Source organism: Homo sapiens, chromosome 16 (assembly GCF_000001405.40).
Source record: "Homo sapiens chromosome 16, GRCh38.p14 Primary Assembly".
Lineage (NCBI taxonomy): Eukaryota > Metazoa > Chordata > Mammalia > Primates > Hominidae > Homo > Homo sapiens.
Window position 1 is genome coordinate 24,023,008 of NC_000016.10, and position 24,261 is coordinate 24,047,268.

General features: G+C 47.2%; 1 protein-coding gene across 3 annotated transcripts in view; it reads left to right on the forward strand.

Annotated features, from left to right (window-relative positions):
* The window catches only part of PRKCB (protein kinase C beta), a 384,629-nt gene that overhangs the window by 187,025 nt on the left and 173,343 nt on the right, over positions 1–24,261 (forward strand). For all 3 annotated transcript variants that reach the window (NM_002738.7, NM_212535.3, XM_047434365.1), the window contains 2 exons: positions 9,129–9,240; positions 12,412–12,540. In NM_002738.7, the coding sequence (NP_002729.2) occupies positions 9,129–9,240; positions 12,412–12,540 (241 nt within the window). The remainder of the gene's footprint in view (positions 1–9,128; positions 9,241–12,411; positions 12,541–24,261) is intronic.

Genomic DNA, 24,261 nt, shown 5'->3' on the forward strand with positions numbered 1-24,261 from the left:
GACGAGGATCTGATGTAAAATGAGACTAGGGGAGGGATTGAGGCAGAGATGGAAGCTGTGTCTTTTTTTTTGTTTTTGAGTCAGAGTTTCTCTCTGTCACTGGAGTGCAGTGGTGCCATCATGGCTCACTGCAGCCTTGAATTCCTGGGCTCAAGCGATCTTCCCACCTTGGCTGGGATTACAGGCATGAGCCACTGCTCCCAGCCAGGAAGCTGCATCTTTGAATGCGATCAGAACCAAACCCCATAGAGGGAGTGATGGCTTACAGGCCATGAGGATTCCCAGACTCATCTCAGGCTTGGTCAATACCCACAGCATCAAGGCTAGGAAGGGAATGTATTTTGGTTAAAGGCAGGACTGATACTTATTTATTTATTTTGAGACGGAGTCTCGCTCTGTCACCCAGGCTGGAGTGCAGTGGCGGGATCTCGGCTCACTGCAAGCTCTGCCTCCCAGGTTCACACCATTCTCCTGCCTCAGCCTCCTGAATAGCTGGGACTACAGGCGCCCGCCACCACGCCCGGCTAATTTTTTGTATTTTTAGTAGAGACGGGGTTTCACCGTGTTAGCCAGGATGGTCTTGATCTCCTGACCTCGTGATCCGCCAGCCTCGGCCTCCCAAAGTGCTGGGATTACAGACGTGAGCCACCGCACCCGGCCAGGCAGGACTGATATTTAACCTGCATGCCCTGGCACTACTGTACCAGTGGTGGAAATATTGAAATACTCTGAAACCGATGGGTAAATAGCCACTGGGTCCTCTGGGCCTTTTCCCCCAACCTTCCACTTACCCATATCTGCCTCTGCCAGCTCCTACCACACCCCCTCCATGACGTGGTGACTAGAGTGCTAACTCCCAGCACAGCCAGGCTCTGCTGTCCATTCCGTTTGGTCTGTGGGCAGTCCCTGAGCCAAGGCAATTATAGATATCTTGACTCACCCCTGGTTGTAGGTAACATGCCTACCTGGATTGGCTGAAGCACAAAGGACAAATTTTAGAGGACACAGGGAGGCAGATGGAATTGGAAGGCAGGATGCCAGAACCCCAGGGACCAGAACCAGGAGCTTCATCCCTGGGGTCATGTAGTCTTTGTCTTTGTTTCTCCAGGTTCCTCAGAGCGCACCATAAAAATCAGCACCAACTGTCATTTGCTACAATGTGGATGAACCTGGAGGACATTATGCTAAGTGAAATAAGCCAGGCACAGAAAGACAAATACTGCATGATCTCACTTAGATGTGGAATCTAATGAAGTTGAACTCACAGAAGTAGAGAGTAGAATGATGGTTACCAGAAGCTGGGGGACAGCAGGAGGCAGGAGTAGGGAAGAAATGGAGAGTTGCTGAGCAAAGAGTACAATGTTTCGGATAGGAGGAATTGCCTTTGAGATCTATTGCACAGCAGGGTGACATTAGTCAATAATATGTATGTTTCAAAGTAATTAAGAGAGTAAATTTCAAATATCTCAAGCTAAGAAAATGATAGGCAAGTTAGGTGATGGATATGTTAATTTTCTTGATTTAATCATGCCACATTGTGTGTGTATATTCAGAACAATCAGAACAATCACATTGTACCCCATAAATGCATACAATTATAATTTGTCAATCAAATATAAAATTAGCAGCCTCAGCCCTGGAACTGTATGTCTGCTGGCCTCAGGACTGATTACCTGTGTCCCAGCCACTCAGCATATGTGACCCTTGAGCCAAGTGTCCACCTCTGCCCCAGTCAGCTGTGTTCAGGGAATGTGGATGTCTCAAAGTACAAGCATGGCTTTTGGGAGGTGCCCATCTCAGAGATGGCATTGGGCTCAGGCAGGCATGGAAAGGTACCCTGAAAGATGCACCTTGAGGGTCGTGGAGGGAGTCATGAGGACCACAGGTGTAGGAGTGTGGCTTTAAGCTCTTTCAGGTAGCAGGAAGGAGGAGGGAAGAATCCACTGAGGATGACCTGGTTTGTCTGGTCTGAAGGATTGGGGCAGTGGGTGGGTAGAGTTGGTGCCTACAAGTATGATCCCTCATGAAAGCGGAGGGAGGGGAATGAGGTCAGAGGAGCTCTCCAGCAGCCTCTAAATAAGCCGTAAGAAGTCAATGTTTCCCTGCAACTTGCCGATTGGTTTTCCTGTCTCTCATCTGGCTCTAATCTGTGCTGCACAGCCCCTTCTAAGTCATTTTCCTAAAATAGCATGTTTATGGTGCAGGGGTTTGCAGTGGCCAACAGCGATGATTGCAGCCCTACAGCTGTCACAACAACCCATTGACCACTGTGTGCAATGCTGTGCTTGCCACGGGCAAAACACTTCGTCTCTTAGTTCTTCGGTTTCCTCATCTGTAAAACAGGGGTAGTAAGTAGTATGTACTTTATAGGGCTGTTATGAGGATCGAATGCATTAATGCCTGATGAATCCCTTAAAATAGTCCCTGGCATGAATAAATGTTCCATAAATGTTAACTCTCACTTATTAAGTATTTATTGAGCATCTTCTGTATGCCAAGTACAGTTTATGCCCTGAGAGTATAATGATGAGCAAAATTTCCTCACATTGCATGCAGTGAAGTGTGGAAGAGATGCAATTAAGCGTGCATTTATAAGTCAGTGGTTTAAGTGCCGTGATGGAGAGGATTTAGAATATAAGTTCCATGAAAGCAGAAGCTCTTTTGTTCACAGCTGTATCCCCAATGCCTAGGAAGAACTTGACCCTCAGTATACATTTGCTAGGTGAATGAACGAATGAGTCAAGTTCTATCTTAGCCGCACATGAAGATGAGGTGTCAATGGAGTAAAGTTGGGAGTGAGGAGAGAAGGGAGGGGAACTTGGTGTGAACCCCATCTCTGCAAGGGTCCAGCTGGGTGGCCTTGGTGAAGTTACTCTGTAGTTAGGATCTGTTTCATTGTTGCTAAAATGGGAACAAATGATACCTTCTGCATGGCATGTCATAAGGATTGGAGAGAGTACATGTGAGACACCCAGCGTACACATGTAGCTCTCAAGCAGTGTGTTGAGACTGGGTGTGGTGGTTCACACCTGTAATCCTAGTACTTTGCAAGGCTGAGGCAGGCAGATCACTTGAGCCCAGGAGTTTGAGACCAGCCTGGGCAACATAGCAAAAACCCTGTCTCTACAAAAAATAAAAATTAGCCAGGCATATGGCATGTGCCTTCAGTCCCAGCTGCTCAGGAGGCTGAGGTGGAAGGGTCGCTTGAACCTGGGAGGCAGAGGCTGCGGTGAGCTATGATCGCACCACTGCACTCCAGCCTGCATGACAGAGCAAGACCCTGTCTCAACAAGACAAAAAACAAAACACACACAAACACAGAAATGTGTTTCCTTTTCCCTTCCCATTCTTTGTGCTTCTTGGTATCTCCTCTTGTTTAAGAGACTGTTGATATGGAGAAAGGTCTGGATCATTTTTGGTCAGAAATGCTTGAATCCTTGTCTTGGAGATCGCTCAAGAAAATATTTACATGAAGAAAAGTGCAAAACCAACAGAGGCAACTTATTATTAGTTGTGATTTTGCCCCAGATCTTAAAGTAGAGCTCACAAGGCCTTGAGGAACTCCTTTCTTCTCTACTAGGCAGGACTAAGGAAATTCAAACCTGAACTCAAACCTAACTCTTGGCCTCTGTAAGATCAATATATCAGAGAAACCAGAAGGGACCACAAGAGCCAAGAGTAGAGACAGAATGTGTCCTAGGTCTTGGAGAGGAGCTGGCTCAGGCCACTTCTACCAAGGGTCTCAGGGCAATACTATAAGACTTGGACCCAGTAGCGTCCTGGGAGAAGTGAAGGATGTAAGGGAGAAGGAGAAGAGAAAGATGGCAAGGATGCCTTTTAACCTCCATGCGAGCTCCACCACTGGGGTCTGGCCAATCCGTGTCTTGGAATCCATCCAATTAAATCAACTCTGCCTCCTTAGAGGTTAAGTAGGGGTGTAAGAGAACCTGGAGCTTCTCCTACAGGCCAATACCAGTCATGAACAGGGGTTCCTTTTTTATTATTATTATACTTTAAGTTCTGGGGTACACGTGCAGAATGTGCAGTTTTGTTTCATAGGTATACACCTGCCATGGTGGTTTGCTGGACCCATCAACTTGTCATCTACATTAGGTATTTCTCCTAATGCCTCCCCTAGTCCCCCACCCCCCGACAGGTCCAGGTGTATTATGTTCCCCTCCCTGTGTCGATGTGTTCTCATCGTTCAACTCCCACTTATGAGTGAGAACATGCGGTGTTTGATTTTCGAACAGGTGTTCCTTTTTAGGTGGGTTTGAAGCACTGAACTCCCAACTTTAAGGTGAATGTCCAAGAAGCACAATGGGAACTGTTCTGTGGCACAGAGCAGGGGGACTCTGATAGGAACCTTATGTATTCACTTAGTCTCATTGTCCGGAGATAGAGACATGGCTGGTTAAGCTGCCAAAAGGGATCCCTTAGTTTTTTGGGGGGTGGATTTCCAAGCCCTGTTGTTGTTACTAGGACGGCACCTCAATCTTTGAGCAGGACAGATGATTGCTGGGGTCCTTTTGTAGCTGAGAGCACTCAGGGTCCCACTGGCGACAGCAGAAAAGACCTCGCTTCTCAAACTTGGCTGTCCAGTGCTCTGGACGAGTACTTCATCTGCCTGACTGCAGAGGGTGGGAACGTTGTGAAAGAAACTTTGTAGCTCATTAACAAGATAAGAAGCAACCGAAGTCTGCAGTGGCTGAGGATTTTCAGTCAGGTTTATTGAGACATACGTTTCCTGTGGTAAAAGTCACTTTAAACAATTTTTTTTGAGACAGGGTCTTGCTCTCCCACCCATGCTGGAGTCCAGTGGCGTGATCATAGCTCACTGCAGCCTTGAACTCTTGGGTTCAAGTGATCCTCCCACCTTGGCCTCCCTAGTAGCTAGAACTACAGGCATGCACCACTATGTCTGGCTTTAATACATATATATAGTAGAGACAGGGTCTCACTGTGTTGCCTAGGCTGATCTCAAACTCCTGGGTTCAAGCTCAAGCAGTCCTCCCGCCTTGGCCTCCTAAAGTGTTGGGATTGAAGGCATGAGCTACTGTGCCCAGCAAAATTCACTTTTTTTCTTTTTTCTTTTTTTTGAGATGGAGTCTTGCTCTGTCGCCCAGGCTGGAGTGCAGTGGCATGATTTCAGCTCACTGCAACCTCTGCCTCTTGGGTTCAAGCAATTCTTCTGTCTCAGCCTCCCAAGTAGCTGGGACTACAGGTGCATGCCACTATGCCCAGCTAATTTTTGTATTTTAAATAGAGACAGGGTTTCACCATATCGGTCAGGCTGGTCTTGAACTCCTGACCTAAGGTGATCCACCCACCTCGGCTTCCCGAAGTGCTGGGATTACAGGCATGAGCCACTGCTCCAGGCCACAAATTCACTTTTAAAAATATAAAGTAAAATTCATCACAGTTAATATATAGACCACTCCAATATCCAAAACAAAAAAGTTGCTGCATCTGCCTCTTTTTAGTTAATTCCCTATCCACCTCCAACCCCTTTTAACCACTGATGTTTTCTGTCCCCATAGTTTTGTGTTTTTCAGAACATTTAGAAATGAACCTACACTTGTGTTGAACATCTTTGTTTTACCAGAATCCTTTCGAGGTTCATGAATGCTGCTGCATGTGTCAATAGTTCATTCCTTTTTACTGCTGAAAAGTATTCCACTGTGTGGATGCCTCACACTGTATCCATTCACACGTCGAACGACATTTGGGTCCTTTCCAGTTTGGGGCTATTATAAGTAAGGTAGCTATAAACCTTCATGTATGGATATGGTTGTTGTTTTTTTTTTTTCCCCTTCTCTGTCACCCAGGCTGGAGTGCAGTAGCACGATCTCGGCTCACTGCAACCTCCGCCTCCTGGGTTCAAGTGATTCTCGTGCCTCACCCTCCCAAGTAGCTGGGACTACAGGCATGTGCCACCACACCCTGCTAATTTTTGTATTTTTAATAGAGACAGGGTTCCTCCATGTTGGCCAGGCTGGTCTCGAACTCCTGACCTCAAGCGATCTGCCCGCCTCGGCCTCCCAAAGTGCTGGAATTACAGGCGTGAGCCACTGTGCCCGGCCTGGATGTTTTCATTTCACCGAAAAGTAGGATTCCTGGGTCCTAGGAGAGTTCCAGTTTATGTTCTTTCTTCACTAACACTTGGTATCGTTGGTTTTAGTTTTCAAACATTTTAGCAACTCTGGTAGGTATGTGATATGGTTAGGCTTTGTGTCCCCACCTAAATCTCATCTTGAATTGTAATCCTCATAATCCACACATGTCAAGGGAGAGACCAGGTGGAGGCAATTGAATCTTGGGGCAGTTTCCCCCATGCTGTTCTCATGATAGCGAGTGAGTTCTCACACGATCTGATGGTTTTATAAGGGGCATGTCCCCCTTTGCTCGGCACTTCTCCTTCCTGCTGCTTTGTGAAGAAGGTGCCTTGCTTTCCCTTCGCCTTCCACTACGATTTTAAGTTTCTTGAGGCCTCCTCGTCCTCAAGAAAATTGACTGTTAGTCAATTAAATCTCTTTCCTTTGTAAATTACCCAATCTCAGGCAGTTCTTTATAGCAGTATGAAAGCAGACTAATACAGTATGGAATTATTTTAAAGTTTTGAAAAGAACAGTTTCCTTAGGAGAAGCACTCATCACATTAACAGCACATAAAAGAATATCTATGTAGTATGTCTGTTTATTTGCTTACATGTTCATTTTCTGTCACTAGAGTACAATTTTAAAGGAGGCATCTGTGGCAGCATCAATAAATACATGTGAATGGATGAATGAAGGAAGGAAGAAACTGGTAGCATGTACCAAAGGCTAGGGTGTCAGATCAGCCCTGGATTGGAACCTAAGGCCCATGTTATTAACTTCTGCCATGTACTTTTTTTTCCTTTTTTTAAGAGAGAGAGGGTCTTGCTCTCTTGCCCAGGCTGGAGTGCAGTGATGCAATCATAGCTCACACATAGCCTTGAATTCTTGGGCTCAAGTGATCTTCCCACTTCAACTTCCCAAGTAGCTGGGACTACAGGCATATGCCACCACACCTGGCTAATTTTTTATTGTTGTAGACATGGGGTCTCACTATGTTGCCCAGGCTGGTCTTGATCTCCTGGCCTCAAGTGATCCTCCCACCTTGGCCTCTCAAAGTGCTGGGGTTATAGGCGTGAGACACTGTACCTGGTCTGCAATGTATAACAGAGAAAGCAACTTTTACAGAAAGAGTTCTCTTGAACTAAAACCAATTCTGTGAGGAAAGAATCTCTTGAAGAAGAAAGAGAAATGCAGAGCCAAAGGCTTACAAAGGGCATGGTCTGTTTGGGAGCGGGGGTGCGCTCTGAGTGCTGAGAATGTACATAGTATGTGTGCATGTGGGTGGGTGGGAGGAGGGGGCTTAGCTGGGGATCACCTTGGCCAAATAGTAATAGCAATCATGGAAAGCTTATGCTGCTTGCTATGTGCCAGGTGGTTCTAAGACCTCTACACAGGTTCATTCATTTATGCTTCCCAACAGTCTTATAAGGAGAGCACTAGCATTATCAGCATTTTACAGATAGGGAAACTGAAGCACAAAAAGATCAAATTAGCTGGGCATGGTGGTGTGCACCTGGCATTCCAGCAATTTTGGAGGCTGAGGTGGGAGGATCATTTGAGGCCAGGAATTTGAGACTAGCCTGGGCAACATAGTGAGACCCCCCTCTCTACAAAAAAAAAAAAAAAATTAAAAATTAGCTGGGCAGGTTGGGCACAGTGGCTCATGCCTGTAGTCCCAGCTACTCGGGAGGCTGAGACAGAAGAATCACTTGAACCCAGGAGACAGAGGTTGCAGTGAGCCAAGATTGTGCCACTGCACTCCAGCCTGGGTGATAAGAGCAAAACTCTATCTCAAAAAAAAAAAAAAGATCAGCTCAGCATAGTTGCATGCACCTGTAGTCCCAGCTACTCAAGAAGCTGAGGCAGGAGAATCACTTGAGCCCAGGAAGTCAAGGTCCCAGTGAGCTATAATTGTGCCACTGCACTCCAGCCTGGGTGACAGAGCAAAACCATGTCTCTTAAAAAACAAAAGAAAACAAAAAACCATCAAACAACTTGCACAAACTCACACAGCTTAGAGCCCCGGAAGTTTATCCAAGTCTGCCTTTTACCACTGCACTGCACTGCCAGGCTATCAAGGGCATATTTATTGATTAGGAAATTATGTAAGGTTCTGTGAGAAATAGCTCCCAAAATATAGTGACTTAAACAAGGCAGAAATTAGGTTTTTCTCTCAGGGGTCAGCCCAAAGGGACAAAATTCAAGGCTGGTAGGGTGGCTTTGTCCTTTCCACATATGGCTCCAAGTTTGGGTCCAGGACAGTCACTTCCAGTTCTCACCATCTTTGAACCAGTGGGGAGAGGGAAAGGCTCAAGGAAGTATGCATTTCCATTTGAAGGGAATGGCCCTGGAGCACACACATCCCATTGGCCAGAACTCAGCACCATGGCGGCACCTGCAAGAGGTGCTGGGAAATATGGCCTCTATCTGGATAGCCATGCTCTCTGCTAAAACTCAAGGATTCTACTATTAAAGGGAAGAATGGATATTGGTGGAAAACCAGCAGTCTCTGCCACAACTTGCAGACTGTCCACTGGGCTTTGAACTTTATTCTGTCAGTGATGAGGAACTGGCAATGGTTTCTAAGCAGGGAGATTTCACATCCAGACTTGGGTTTTTGATCACTGCAGAAGCATGCTTGGAGAATAAAGGTGGGGAGAAAGAAAAGTCAGGAGCCCTGTTTAGATGATGTGTCTGTTACTTTGTTTTCCCATCTCTGGAGTCCCTACTACAGGCAGGAGCCTGTAGGTTGAGTTCCCAGGCAGGCCCAGATGGAGGGTTTGCAGGCAGGGTGAGTGAGCATGGGGCTGCAAAGGGAACAATCATCTGTCTTTGTCCTTCATTCCTTCCACAACTATTTATCCAGCACCGTTTCTGGGCACAGGGCTCCAGCGATGGTCCCAACAGGTACAATGACCTCTGGGGACCAAGTTCAGTTCTTGGTGAGTTCTCCAGTGCCTCTCGATGTAGGATGAACCGTTGGCATGCTCCACTGACGCTGGCTCCTTCTGTTGTTTCTCTTGGCTCCAGGACCCCCGCAGCAAACACAAGTTTAAGATCCACACGTACTCCAGCCCCACGTTTTGTGACCACTGTGGGTCACTGCTGTATGGACTCATCCACCAGGGGATGAAATGTGACAGTAAGTACTTTTTCTCTCTGGGGGCATCTGCTGATGGCAGAAGCAATGGGAAGGGCTGCTTCCACTTGGTTTGGGGTCCAGGTCTGCCATACATTCCCCCCTGTCCTCGTTGGGGCTGGTGTACCAGTTATCTGTTGCTGCATAATGATCCTCCCACCCCAAAACACTGTGACTGAAGACAATAAACATTTTTTTAGCTCATGACTCTGCAAGGCAGTTCTTTGAATCTGGGCTGGCCTCAGCTGATGTCACGCATGTTCATAAAGCATGAACTCATGGTTCATGGTGGATTAGCAGATGGAGGTGGGCTGGGAGCTGTCTGGGCCATGGTGGCCTCACCCACATGTCCTGGAGGATGGCTGGCTGTCATCTGGGTGATGGTGATGACCAGGCCACGTGTCTTTCCTCCTCAGTGGGCTAGGCTACCTAGCCTCCGTGCATGCACGGAGGTCACAGGGTCCTGAGTTTCTTAGGAGGGCAAGTCCCATTGGCAGCCACACTTCAAGTCTCTACTTGTGTCTTTTGCTCCTGATCCACTGGTCAAAGCAAGTGGCATGTGAGATGCACAGTCACAGTGTGGGAAGGGGCAGTCCATGGCTGTTGACACCCAGAGGCATGAACAAATCATGGGCATTTCTGCAGCCATGCACCACCACTGTTTTCAGCATTGAGATGTGGGGCTGATGCATTCTTTGCATGGAGAAGACCTGTGGCCCTGCAGCACCCACAGGTTTGTGCTGGAGGAGGAAAGAGCATCATTCTCTGGCCAGGATGTGGTAGGAAAGGCAGGTGGGGTAGGACTCCTCTTTATGAGGCCAAGGCCCGGATGGCCTGTGGGGCAGGGGAGCAGACAGGCTTTGAGAGCTATGGCCACAAAGCTACAGGGACACTGGAGGTGCTGGTGGCTCCCACAGACCTGTTGGTCTGCAGCAGGCTGGGTGTCATGAGGCTAGTGGTACTGCTCTCCCAAGGGTCCTGAGGCCCAGAGGACAGAGGGAGAAAGTCATAGGGCAGAGAGTGACAGAGAGGACTGTGAGGGTGAATAAGGGTGGTAGGGAGCAAGACAGACAGCAAGAAACACACATGCATAGACAGACACAGATGCAGGGGAAAGATGGACACATGCAACCCTAACACAGGGAGGAATGTGGGGCGTGGAAGCTACAGAGAGACTCAGCTAGAGAGAGACTCAGGCAAAAGGAGGGACAGGCAGACACACAGACCAACAGATAAGCCAGGTGCAGTGGTTCACTCCTGTAATCCCAACACTTTGGGAGGCTGAGGCGGGTGGATCACCTAAGGTCAGGAGTTTGAGACCAGCTTGGCCAACGTGGCAAAACCCAATCTCTACTAAAAATACAAAAATTAGCCAGTCAAGGTGGTGGGTACTTGTAATCCCAGCTACTTGGGAGGCTGAGGCAGGAAAATCACTTGAACCCAGGAAGCAGAGGTTGCAGTGAGCTGAGATCACACTACTGCACTCCAGCCTGGGTGACAGAGTGAGACTCTCAAAGAAGAAGAAGAAGAAAAGATAAAATGATTGGCATGGACACAGAGAGAGACGCCATTACACAGGCTCATGCAGAGGTATAGAGATGGAAAGACCAGAGACAGAGACAGAAGCACACATGGAGAGCCACAGAGAGACACGGAGGAGAGAGGCAGAGAGACACAGTTGGAGAAAGGGAGAGACAAAGAGGCCAGAGACAAGTGCAGAGAGTGGAACAGACCGATTCACAGACACGGCCAAGGCAGTGAGCCACGTGCAGAAGTGGGACAGCAGAGACAAGAGACATGCAGCAACGTGGAAACAGAGAGACAGACACAGAAACATGGCAAGAGCCACAGGGGGACAGTGAGGTTGGAGCCTTCTGCCTGCAGGACACCAGCTCCTCTTACCACACATGGGGCCCTAATATAGGGACAATGTCCCTGCCTCAGAGACAGTGGTGGGTGGGAGCTCAGGCTGGTGCTCAGGTCCCAGAGGGCTCTCCCTTCCCTCCCCACAACTCATTTCTAGTTTTTGTAATAGGCCTGCTGCCTCCTGGGACTTGGGTGGTCTGAGAAGGGTCCCTTGCCCCCAGATCCCTTGAAATAGGGGCCCATGGGGTGACTTGGCCTCTCCTTCTGGCTTCTCCAACTGGAACTAGCGTCCCCCTGGAGAATCCTGGGTGCCTGGCACACCTTCCTGGAGTGGGGCATTATTGCTCAAGACCTAGAAGAAATCACCCACCACATTGAAATAGACACAGATACTCTACGGAGGAGTGCGCAGAGGGAGTGGATATCCTATAACATGAGAGATGGCCGAAGGCCAAATTCAGTGTATAGGCACATTTTATCCACCCTGCCCTGGCTCTAAATCTTTTTCCTTGTAATTAATTATGGTGGACACTATGGCCAGCCCAGACCCCCTCTTCATGGTCCCACCCCATCCCCTAGCTGTGGTTCACAGCAGTGCCCCATCCTGCATAATTGCCCAAGATAATGCCTCTTCCAGGGAGACCAGATGATTGTGGTGCCCAGCCCTCTTGTCTCAGTTTGGAACAACTCTGAAGGGTCATCTCAGCTCTGGGCTCCCCCTAACATCAGCTTTGATTGCATCCACGTGGCAAACGAACTTCTCCCCACAAGAGCACTCCCCAAAAACCTTGTGCTCAAAACTCCCCGTCTCAGACTCTTTCCAGGGAGCCCAACCTATTAGCTGTTAATATTTAAAAATCAGAGCTGTCACGTACACATCGAGATTCCTGCATACGTTGAGAAATGGGGAATGTTTTTGCTCTGTTTCCCACTTGGCTTGGCCAAGTCCCTGCCACCCCCTTAGCTTTCCTCACTCATGTGACCAGCCAGCCTGTGAGCATTGAAGTTGGTGACTCTGGCTTCAGAGCCTTAAGGGGTGTGGGGTGTGCTTGCTTCAGACTGCACCCTTGGCTGTGGGTGGGGAACAGACAAGTTCTACCTCCTTTGCCCATCAGGGTTCAGGGGGAAGAGTTGGAAAAGCCCTTCTGATGAGATCCTGGCAGGCAAGTTGGTCTCAGCCAGGCTCGTGTGTCTCAGCTGTCTCAAAGGAGGGAAACAGGAAGGGCTCAGCGGTCTTGGGTGGGGCAGATGTCTGCAGCCCCCAGCCTGGGCCAGCCTAAGCCACATCCCCTCTCTCTGCCCTCACAGCCTGCATGATGAATGTGCACAAGCGCTGCGTGATGAATGTTCCCAGCCTGTGTGGCACGGACCACACGGAGCGCCGCGGCCGCATCTACATCCAGGCCCACATCGACAGGGACGTCCTCATTGTCCTCGGTAGGTGGCCCTGGGGCTCCACTGGCTCCTGACCTTGCTTGACCTGTGTGATTGAGAAGGGGAGGGTGGCGGAGGGGTGGGGCAGTCCAGTGGAGGGGTGGGGCAGTCCAGGGACGGGGAGGGGGTGTGGCACTGCTTCTGCCCCATGCCCTGCCCATGACAGCCCCTCCCTGCAGCAGGGGGATCTTTAGAAACTGTACACCCTCAAAGCTTCGTCCATCAGCACCCCAGGCTGACTTGGGTTCAGAGAGGAGACGTCTGAGTTCCTTGGACTTCTAACTTCCTCAGGATCCTCCACTTCCCTTCTCTCCTTCTCATTTCCCACTCTTTTTTAGTAATCTTTTGGGATGGGTAGTTGCATTTCCTTTACTCAGATAGCAGAGAAGGGAAGCTTGCTTCTTCCGCAAACTTTTCCAGCAGGAAAAATGGAGTCTTGATGATAAACCCCAGATTTGGAGAATATAATATCTTGGGAAGGAGGAGGGTTGGAGGGTGCAATTCAGGGGCTTTCCACATATTTGAAATATTTCTTTCTTGAACCTGATGGTGGCTATGCTGTAATTTTATTATTCTCTATATTTTCTGCATGTCTAAAATATTTCATGATAATTAGAAAGCAGGATGGTACAGTCTCCTGGGAGATGCAGTGAGAGGAGGAGCTGCTGGTGGTGGTGGTGGTGGTGGTGGTGGGGCTGTCACTCATGTATCCCAGCATTCAAGACATACCTGGCTCTGATATGGGAAGTTCAAGCAAAATTGGAACTCAGCAGCACTGGCTTGAGGAATACTCAGCCATAAGCCCCGGTATAACCAGCACTGAGCTGGCTGGGAGTGGAGCTAAAACTTTGCAGGAATTTCTTCTCAAAGGCTAGTGACAAACTACTGTGGACTTTATATATCTAATGAATATAAATAAGGGTTTATGAGTTGGTAACTCAGGAAATTGATCATGGAAGAGATTAATTTTGCAAAAATTAGTGTTTCTGAGGCCTCAGACTGGTTCAGTAGCTCTGATGCATTGAGCCCTGGGTTGCGGAGGGGCTTTACGTAGATTGTGTAAAAGCTGAAAAATACTTATCCCTGTACAATATAATTCTTTTAAACTTGAGATTTCGTGAAGCCCAGTGAGATTTTAGAAAATGTGCAATCCATTGCATTATGTTTTCCTCCAAGTGGTCGCCTGCCTCCCAGTGTGATGCTTGGGGGCCCCAGGGGAAATCCCGCAGTTTCAGGTTCAAGGGAAGCCAGTTTTCCCCACTGATTGAGGTTCCCGATGCTGGTGAGACAAATATGAGACTCTGCTTCCCTCTGGTGTCATTCTGTGGGAAATACACTCGTTCCAAAGCATGACTGCGGGCAGCCAACATTTATGGGCCGCATGGGATGTGCAGTGCTCTAAACCTTACGTGTTATCTCTTTCCACCTTCACAACATTGTGAAATCTCTATTATTCTTGTTTGAGAGGGAGACTCCATCTGTTGCCCAGGCTGGAGTGTGGTGGCGCCATCTTAGCTCACTGGAACCTCCACCTCCCGGGTTCAAGCGATTCTCCTGCCTCAGCCTCCTGAGTAGCTGGGATTACAGGCGCCCACCACCACGCCTGGCTAATATTTGTATTTTTAGTAGAGACAGGGTTTCACCACGTTGGCCAGGCTGGTCTAGAACTCCTGACCTCAAGTGATCCGCCCATCTCGGCCTCCCAAAGTGCTGGGATTACAGGTGTGAGCCACTGCGCCCAACCTTCTATTATTCTTGTTTTATGAACAAAGAAGCCACGGCTCAGAGAAGTTATATTCCAAGAGCTCACACCATTTGCAATAATAATAAAACAATAGCTAAGATGTGTTTAGTTTTTAAAATGTGTTAATCATTGTGAAAAGCACTTACAGGCAGTATCTGATTTACATTGTTTCAACAACTCAAATGAGTTAAGTTATCATTCTACCCATCAGAAAACACATTTCCTCACCTAGGTCTGTTTGACTCAAAAGTACTATATAGTAGGTTACTTTTTTGTTTAGTTTAGTTTCGTTTCGTTTCTCTATGCCCTCCACCGTATTTATTCCTTTTGTGGTTTGGCTAGGGCACCTCCTATGGGCATTCCTTAGGGAGTCTTTGTTCTGATGTGGTACAGTACAATATTTCTTCAAGTTCAAGGTCAAAGTCTTCCCCCTTAATCATAGATATGCTGTGAACTTTGAGAACCTGGATCACAAGCCCCCGCTTCTCAGGACACACTGATAGGAGGTGTATCCATTTGCTGTGGCTGCCATAACAAAATACCACAAACTGGGTGGCTTAAGACAAGACGTTTAAAAAAAAAAAAAAAGAAACGAAAAGAAAAAGAAAAAAACAATAGGCCAGGCACAGTGGCTCATGCCTATAATCCCAGCGCTTTGGAAGACCGAGGTGGGTGGATCACTTGAACTCAGGAGTCAGCCTGGGCAACATGTCGAAACATCATCTCTACTAAAAATACAAAAAATTAGCCAAGTGTGGTGGTGCACGACTGTAATCCCAGCTACTTGGGAGGCTGAGGCAGGAGGATCACTTGAGCCTGGGAGGTGGAGGTTGCAGTGAGCTGAGATTGCACCACTGCACTCCAGCCTGGGTGACAGAGCAAGACTCCGTCTCATAAAACAAAAACAAGAAAAACAAACAAACAAAAAAGGCCAGGTGTGGTGGCTCACACCTGTAATCCCAGCACTTTGGGAGGCTAAGACAGGAGGATTGCTTGAGACTAGGCGTTCAAGACCAGCCTGGCCAACATAGTGAGACCCTGGCATATTGTAGGATTTCATTTCTTTGGGATGTTCAGAGCAGGCAAATGTATAAAGAAGTTTAATAGCACTTTGTGCTTTTCCAAATACTTTGATATCACACCATTCGGGAAAGGGCACGTTGTTGCCATCATGGAAGGGAAAACGAAGTCTCAGCAAGGCTGAACACCCTGACCAATGTCACATGCTGAGCAGGGGTGAGCACCTGGGCCTCTGGCCCCATGTCACAATGCCCTGCAATTGCCCATACACCATGCTGGGCACAGCCTGTACTCAGCATGGGCTTGTTGATTGATGGATGATAGAAGAGAGCCCTGATGCTGTGGCCGAGTTCTCTAAAAATAGAGCCAAGATGGGGATTTTGTTCCAGTGATTTATTGGGCTGCTCATGGGAAAAGAGAAGTGAAGGAACCATGCTTCCTTCCTCAGGCAGGGAAAAAGCTTGGCGAGAGTGTGGTCTCCGTGGAAGTCTTCTTCAGCCTGGTATCTGGTGGAATTTTGTACCAAACACTGTAGCACAGTCAGTCCCATCTTGAGGCAAGGGGGCTGTTCTGTCGTGTTCCAGGTCAGTCAGTGCTGTGGGATGACTTGTGTCTCCCCCAGATTTGTATCTTAAAGCCTCACCCCCAGTGTGGTGGTATTTGGAGCTATGGGACCTTTGGGTGGTAATTAGGGTTAGATGAGGTTGTGAGGGTGGGGCCCTCATAATGGGATTTGTGGATTTCTAAGAGGAAGAAGAAAGAGAGATCATTCTGTCTCCACCAAAGGAAGGATACAGCAAGAAGGTGGCCGTCTGCAAGCCAGGAAGTGAGTCCTTACCAGGAATTGAAGCTGCTGGTACCTCGATCTTGGACTTCCCAGCCCCCAGAACTGTGAAGAAATAAATGTCTTTTTTTCTTTTTTTCTTTTTATTTTGTTTTAGATGGAGTCTTGCTCTGTCACCCAGGCTGGAGTGCAGTGGCATGATCTCTGCTCACTGCAACCTCTGCCTCTCATGTTCAAGCGATTCTCCGGTCTCAGCCTCCCGAGTGGCTAGGATTACAGGCACGTGCCACCATGCCCAGCTGATTTTTTTTATTTTTAGTAGAGACGGAGTTTCACCATGTTAGCCAGGATGGTCTCAATCTCCTGACCTCAAGTGATCCGCCCGCCTTGGCCTCCCAAAGTGTTGGGATTACAGGCGTGAGCCACTGTGCCGGCCTAAATGTCTGTTGTTTAAGCCACCCAGTCCATGGTATTCTGTTATGACAGCCTGAGCTGGCTGATATAGTCAGTTACTGCTGTAGGCTGCTGGGGATGGAGGTGGGAAGGTAGAGTAACTTCCCAGGTGAGGAGGCTTCTGTGCAGTTGAGGACAGTTATCTGGACATAGGGGTAACTGTGAGCCATTAACAGCCATCATACACAGCACCCAGGGGATGGGTGCATTGGCCAGCATGGAGGGGAGCTGGGCAGGGTCCAACAGCATCTGGCACACTCAAGTTTCCCTTGGTCTCCTGACTGTCTTCCTGGTTTCATTGCTGGGACTCCAGCCCCCTCCTCCTTGGTCTTGGCAAGACAGATCAGAGAGGAGCGAGCACTAAAGGTTGTGCGGGGTCCTTCCCAGCAGTGCCAGGCCAGAAGTGGCCTTGTGGTGTTTGTGGAATGGCCCCACCTCATCCAGACCCAAGAAGCATGGTCAGTATTAGGATTTTCCACTGACCATCAGCCCAGGACACTGCCGTTTGCCCTGAGTGTCATATGTTCTTTGGAAATCTCAGCATCTCTAGAGGTCAAAGGTTTTCTAACTTGCCTGGCTACTGAAATTGAGCTCATATATCTGTTCTTAGTGTTTTGGCAGGTCAAGATGAGAATAAATCTGATCAGTTCTCCTCCTTTTAAAAACCCATCAATGGTTTCCCATTGTCTTTATAACAGACTAAATCTAACATGGCGATCTCATTCTTTATTCACTGTCTCCTCCCCCTTTCTTTTAATCCTTGGTCCTCTGCAGACTGCCACACACCATAAGACATCTGTGCGTTCTGTTTAGAATGTTTGCCATTGCCATCTTCTCTTTTTCTAGCAATTAACTCTTCCTCTCGATCTCGGTTCATTTTTACCATCTAATAAGCTTCCTCCAACTTCCCCCTTTCGTAGACACTCATGGTAACCTGAGCTTGGCCTTGTGAAAGGGGTGATTTTATGTTGGATTTGATTAATGTCTGCATCTCATCACAAGGCATTAGCTCCATGAGGGCGGGACTGTGTCTTGCCACTCTACTCCCAGCACCTAGCAAGGTGGGCATCACTAAATATTTATGGGCTCAATGGCTGTATGTATGAATGAGAAACCCCTGGAGGATCCTGATAGATAGATATAAGGCTTTCACTGATGGTCCCCAGATCAGTGCCTCCTAAAGTCAGGAAATGAAGGTCAACGGATTGTCCAATTTATACCATTATTCTCATGGGAGGTAGAACATGCAGAAAATCTTAAGTACCAGGTCCAACGTCAACAGCAAATGTTACTGGGACTGAGACCCGCTTGTTGGAGTCATGACCACCCTTGTTCCCTGGACAATGTAGAAAAGACATGGAGCAGTGGGATTTGTAGTATCCCAGGAAACCGTATTGACATCATGATGCCCATAGGTGTCATGAGATCAGGCAATACAATGTCCAGATCAGAGTTGTAAAATGCTCCCAAGGTTTGTGAAGCCTGCGTGTTCATACATGCAACAATAATTTTTTTTGTGTGTGTGTGACAGAGTCTTGCTGTCACCCAGGCTGGAGTGCAGTGGTGCAATCTCAGCTCACTGCAACCTCCCCCTCCCAGGTTCAAGCCATTCTCCTGCCTCAGCCTCCCGAGTAGCTGCGACTACAGGCGCATGCCACCATGGCCGGCTAATTTTTTTTTGTATTTTTGGTAGAGATGGAGTTTCACTGTGTTAGCCAGGATGGTCTCGATCTCCTGACCTCATGATTTGCCCACCTCAGCCTCCCAAAGGGCTGGGATTACAGGCGTGAGCCACCGCACCCAGCTAACAATATCTTATTCAATGCTTTTTCAATTCAGTATCTACCTATCAACATAACAACTGACATCTATTATTTATACTCCCATCTACATTACAGCCACCTCCAAATGCTTAGCCATGTCCATCCTCATATCTATCTCCCAAAAGTTGGGAGTGTTCTTAAAGAAAGCAGAAAGAACCTTTTTTTTTTTAAATGTTTCTCTTTGGAACTCCCATTCTATATTCTTACCATTATATTGTGTTATACAGAAACTTTTTAGACTGAAACATCTCCCTGACAGCCTTAGGTACTCCCAATATTGTGATATTTAAATCCTTCTTAAGATCTGACATCCACACATCAAAAGAAAAAGAGTACCAAAGAGGCTGAGTGTGGTGGCTCACGTCGGTAATCCCAGCATTTTGGGAGGCTGAGGCGGCTGTATCACCTACAGTCAGGAGTTCAAGACCAACGTGACAAAACCCTGTCTCTACTAAAAATACAAAAATTAGCCAGGTGTGGTGGTGGATGCCTGTAATCCCAGCTACTCAGGAGGCTGAGACAGGAGAATCGCTTGGACCCAGGAGGCAGAGGTTGCAGTGAGCTGAGATTGCATCACAGCACTCCAGCCTGGGTAACAGAGTGAGACTCCATCTTGGAAAAAAAAAAAAAAAAGAATTGGGAAGAAAAAGGGCAATGTAAACAAGAAAAAAAAATCCAGATAGCTTAATATTTATTTTTGTTTAACTTTTATTTGAACTTTGGTGGGGGGGTACGTGTGCAGGTTTGTTATATAGGTAAACTTGTGTCATGGGGGTTTGTGTAATATTGCCCAGCCATGCGTCAATTGCAGACAGAAAATTATTATAAACTAGGCCGCGAGGGCCCACTAGGGGGCAGTCTCTGCCTTCAAAGCCATTCCTCCTCGGAGGCTCTCTCAGGAGATGCCCCAATTTGTGAAACCACAGTACTGTCATTGCTCATAATGGAAGGTGCAGCAGAGACCAGCTACGCTCACTGAGGTCCAGAGAAAGGTTACTTCTTCAGGTCACACACAGATAGGGCCCAGTTCTGGTAGATCTCCCTTCCCTTTTACATTATTGGTTTGTAATTTTTTCCCAAGTCTTTATTTTGAACTAAGTTGAAAGAATTTTACAGCAAACACTCATTTATCCACCACCTATATTCTGTCGTTAACGTTTCCACACTTGCTTAATCACATTTCCAACTATCTCGCTCTCCATCCATCAATCTGTCTTATTTTTGACACATTTCAAAGTAAACTGCAGACACCAATTCGATTTCCCCCAAACACTTCAGCATGCCCAACATCAATAGAATTCAAAATTTACTTGTAGGGTTTCTTTTTTTTTTTTAACTTTTGAGGTGAAATGTACATACAATGATACATACAAAATTTTTTTTTTTTTTGAGACAGTCTCACTTTGTCACCCAAGCTGGAGTGTAGTGGCGTAATCACGGCTTACTGCAGCCTCGACCTCCCAGGCTCAATTGATTCTCCCACCTCAGCCTACAAAGTAGCTGGGACTACAGGCATGAGCCACCACACTCAGCTAATTTTTGTAGTTTTGTAGAGATGGGGTTTTGCCATGTTGCCTAGGCTGGTCTTGAACTCCATGGTTCAAGCAATCCTCCCACTTTGGCCTCCCAAAGCGCTGGGATTATAGATGTGAGCCACTGTGCCCGGTGATGTCTTAAGTGTACAATGGCTGAGTTTTGACAAATGCATATGACTGTCATTCTAACCCTTATCAAATTAATTCTCTTTTTTGATGTCACAGCTGCTGTTGAGGATCCAAGGGAAGGTATGAACCAGAGAAATGCCTTTATGTCCCCACACACTGCACTCATACTCATGAGCTCTGGCTATTGGGATGTCTATTATACCTAAAATCCCTTAGATGACATGAAACTTAATAGTTGTTCAATTTTTTTTGTTTGTTTTTTGAGGAGTTATAATGCAGTAAAGTAGAAACTTTGAAAATTGGAAATTCTTGTTTACAATTTTTTGTTATGTATTCATTGAAGAGCAAAATGCCTTTAAAAACTCAATACACCTGCTTTATTTTGCTTTTTTTTTAGTATTGTTGTAATGAAGAAGTTCAGTTAAATCATATCTGTCTATGGAACATCTATCATCTTTCTCAGTGTATTACTGATAGTTGTCTGCACACCCCATGAGGCCAGGGGAAGGGTCTCTTGCCCATCCTTCCTTCAAAGCCTATCAGCTTGTTAGGTTGAGGTGAGTGTCTCAGGCACTGAAGTTTTGGGATACTGGACCTAAGGAGATGTAGGGAAGCTGACGTCTTGCTATTCAGTGTTCCTTCTCTTCTTCCCTGGTCATTTAAGTCTCATGAGAATTATCAAGGCCAGGCCAGCGTCTGAGGCCTTCAGGATGTGCTGGGCGCGGTCATTGCTCCCAAATGTCTAGGGAATTGCATTGAAGTGGGCACTGCTGGGACCTGCAGGGCTGTGACTTGTGACTGCCTTTGGGGACAGTGGTCCAGCAATGTCTATTAAAATATGTATACATATGAACATTTTGACTCTCACGTTTTCCTTTAGGGAATCTATTCTCTTAAAATGAAACACCAGCGTGCAAAGAAATAAAATCTAGAACAAGCATGTTTATTGATGTTTTCTTTGAGATGCAAAGAAAACATCAGCCTAATGAAGGGGTACCCATTTTATGTGATACTAGGTAGTTGTTGAAAGCATTGAATTAGGCCAGGCGCGGTGGCTCACACCTGTAATCCCAGCACTTTGGGAGGCTGAGGAGGGTGGATCACTTGAGGCCAGGAGTTCCAAACCAGTCTGGCCAACATGGTGAAACCCCGTCTCTACTAAAAAAAATCCAAAAAATTAGCTGGGTATGGTGGTGCATGCCTGTAATCCCACCTGCTCTGGAGGGTGAGACACGAGAATCACTTGAACCCTGCAGGTGGAGTTTGCAGTGAACAGAGATCAGGTCATTCATGCACTACAGCCTGGGTGATAGAGTAAGACTCTGTCTCAAAAAAAAGAAAAGAAAAGACTGAATTAAAATGAGAAAATGAGTATAATTTTTGACATGGGAACTGGTTACACAGGTGAATTTCCTTTGTGAGAATTCAAGCTGTAAGATTATGATTTATACACTTTTCTATAGGTATATTATACTTCCTATACTTTTATTATTTAAAAGTTTGTGATAAAAATTCTAAATAACTAAAAACAAAACACCAATGGGTTAGAGCTACAGATATTGGTGTAAAGCAGAGGTTGCCAAACTGGCCTGCTGCCTGTTTTTATAAATAAAGTTTTATTGGAACACAGCCACATCCATTCATTTATATATTATCTATGGCTGCTCTTGTGATACAATGGCAGAGTTCACTGCGTAGTTGTGACAAAGCTTGTACAATCTGCAAAATGTAAAATATTTGTTCTCTGGCCTTTACTGAAAACATTTGGCAGTCCTTGAACTAGAGGAACATCTATGGTTAAGTGAAAGGGTTAGGTTGCGTAAAAATATATTTAGTATGATCTCATTTTGAAGAAATAAGCAACAGCAACAGACACCTCCTATGTGTGAAGTTTTGTCTGTATATTTTATAACCTGTGTGTGAAGAAAGGTGTGGAAGGATACCAACCAGGTTGTAAACACTGGGATCGCAGCAGGATTGGGAGTGAAGAGGCTGTGGCGGTGAGGGGGATTGTGTTGTGTCTCTGTAGTTTTCATTACGTTTCACAGGTTGATTGCAATACATATCATTTCCGCAATTTTTGAAAAATAAAAACAGAAAAATCTCCAAATAGGAAAAATGAACAGAAATAAATTGTCTCAACAACAATAGCAGAAAAAAAAAATGAATGGATAATGCCCCAAATGATGGGGTGTTGGTTGCTTGAGGAGGGTTGTTGGGTGGTTCTCAGCTTGAGCAGAGCTGGGCCCAGGCCCTGTCTGGGTATTTTTGAGTTTTTATTGTCACTAGCTTCCATCTTGTGTAGCATCTGCCTTGTGAGCTGGGCCTGTTCTCCGAGTTTCATGGTGTTTGATGTTTTTTGCCTTCTTTCAGCAAGGTCGCTGGCATCATCCTTGCTGAGTCGCATATGTTCTGGGAACCACCTCCTCTTCTCTGTGCCTCTCGCCTGGCAGGTCTACGCTAAACTGCCCCCTGCCCTCCCAGGCCCACCCCACCTCCAAGTCTGAGTTCTTTGACTTAAACTTCAATCCTGTTTCCCATGGGCTGTGGCTTCCCAACCCTCAGTTTCAGTTGAAGCTAATTTTTTTTTCCAGAAATCACTGTGGGCCCTGGCTGCTCTGGGTGTGGTCTGGGGACCAGCTGCATCCCATCGGCATTACCTGGGAGCTCGTTAGCAATTCGGGATCTCAGCTTCCCCTCCAGGCCTGCTGAATCAGAATCTGCAATTTAACAACATCCCCTGGGGATGCACTGTAACATTCGAGCAGCCCTGCTGCAGAGGATCGCAGTGAGACGGGAAGAATGTGTCTTTTCCACTAGATGGCAGGCCTTACCTGCGCTTGGCTCCTGCGCAGACCACCACAGGTGGATGTGCCAGGGGTGATGTGAACCTCCAGCCCCGCGTTGGCCATGGCATCTTACCAGTCATGAAGCTCGGGTGTCAGTCCCGCCAGGGCTGGAATCCTCTTTCATTGGTGACCTGCACCTACCTGCATGTCCTGGCCTGGTGCAGCATGAGCTTCTGGCTTGAGCCATTTGTGTAAAGTGACCCAGAGCCTTTCTTTCTTCCCTGCTTTGCCTTTGTCCTCTACCACCTGGAAGGTGAAGGCATGTCTCTGGGGAGCTTCCTAGTCATTAGCCTCTGTGTTGCTTTTCTGGATGGCTTGCTGCACGTCTCTGCTAATTTTAGGCCAATGTGGTCTATGATTACAAAGGTTTTGCATGGGCTTTGGAGTCAGGCCTGGGTTTGAATCCTGCCTTTCCCACTCCTCCAACAAGTATTTGTTGGGGGCCTCCCATGTGCTGGGCACTGCTTACAGGCAAGGCCCCTGTGCTCATGGCCTCTGCCTTCTTTCTAATGATGGGAGATGAAGAGGAAGCAAACAAAACACTTTGAGAAAACAAGGAACACTATCAAGGAAATAAAATAAAGCGGCATGATGTGATAGAGGGTGGCCAGTGGGCTGAGTGTGATTAGCAGGGATAATGGCATTTAGTTGAGACCTCAGGGACCAGCAGGAGGGAGCCAGCTTGCTGAAAATTCCAGGGAAGAGTATACCAGGCAGAGGGAGCGGCAGAGGCAGAGGCCAGAGGGAAGAGTGAAGCAGCAGGCTTGTGAGTGACAGGAACTGACAGCCAGTGGGTGTGACTGGAGCCTCGGGATGGGGAGGGGTGGGTGACGCTGGAGGAAAGGCAGGGACAGCCAGTTAGGCTTTGTGAGCCCCATGGTGGGCTTGGTTTCTTTCTAAGTGCATGGAAATTTAGATCCCAGGAGTATCTGAAGGACATCATGCAAGGTCAGTGTGTTTAGGCCCCAAAACCACCCAGTGGGGGCAGTCATTTTGTTTTTCTCATTTTACAAAGGAGAAAACAGAGCCTTGAAAAATCTGAGCCTGGTGTGGTAGCATGTGGCTATGGTCCCAGTTACTCAGGAGGCTGAAGCAGGATCATCAGTTGAGGCCACAAGTTTGAGACCAGCCTCAGCAACACAGTGAGAAAAAAAGTCTTAAAAATTAGCTGGGTAGGCAGGGTGCGGTGGCTCATGCCTGTAATCCCAGCACTTGGGGAGTCTGAGGTGGGTGGATCACAAGGTCAGGCGTTCGAGACCAGCCTGGTCAACATAGTGAAACCTCATCTCTACTAAAAATACAAAAAAAAAATTAGCTGGGCGTGGTGGTGCGTGTCTGCAGTCCCAACTGCTCAGGAGGCTGAGGCAGGAGAATCGCTTGAACCCGG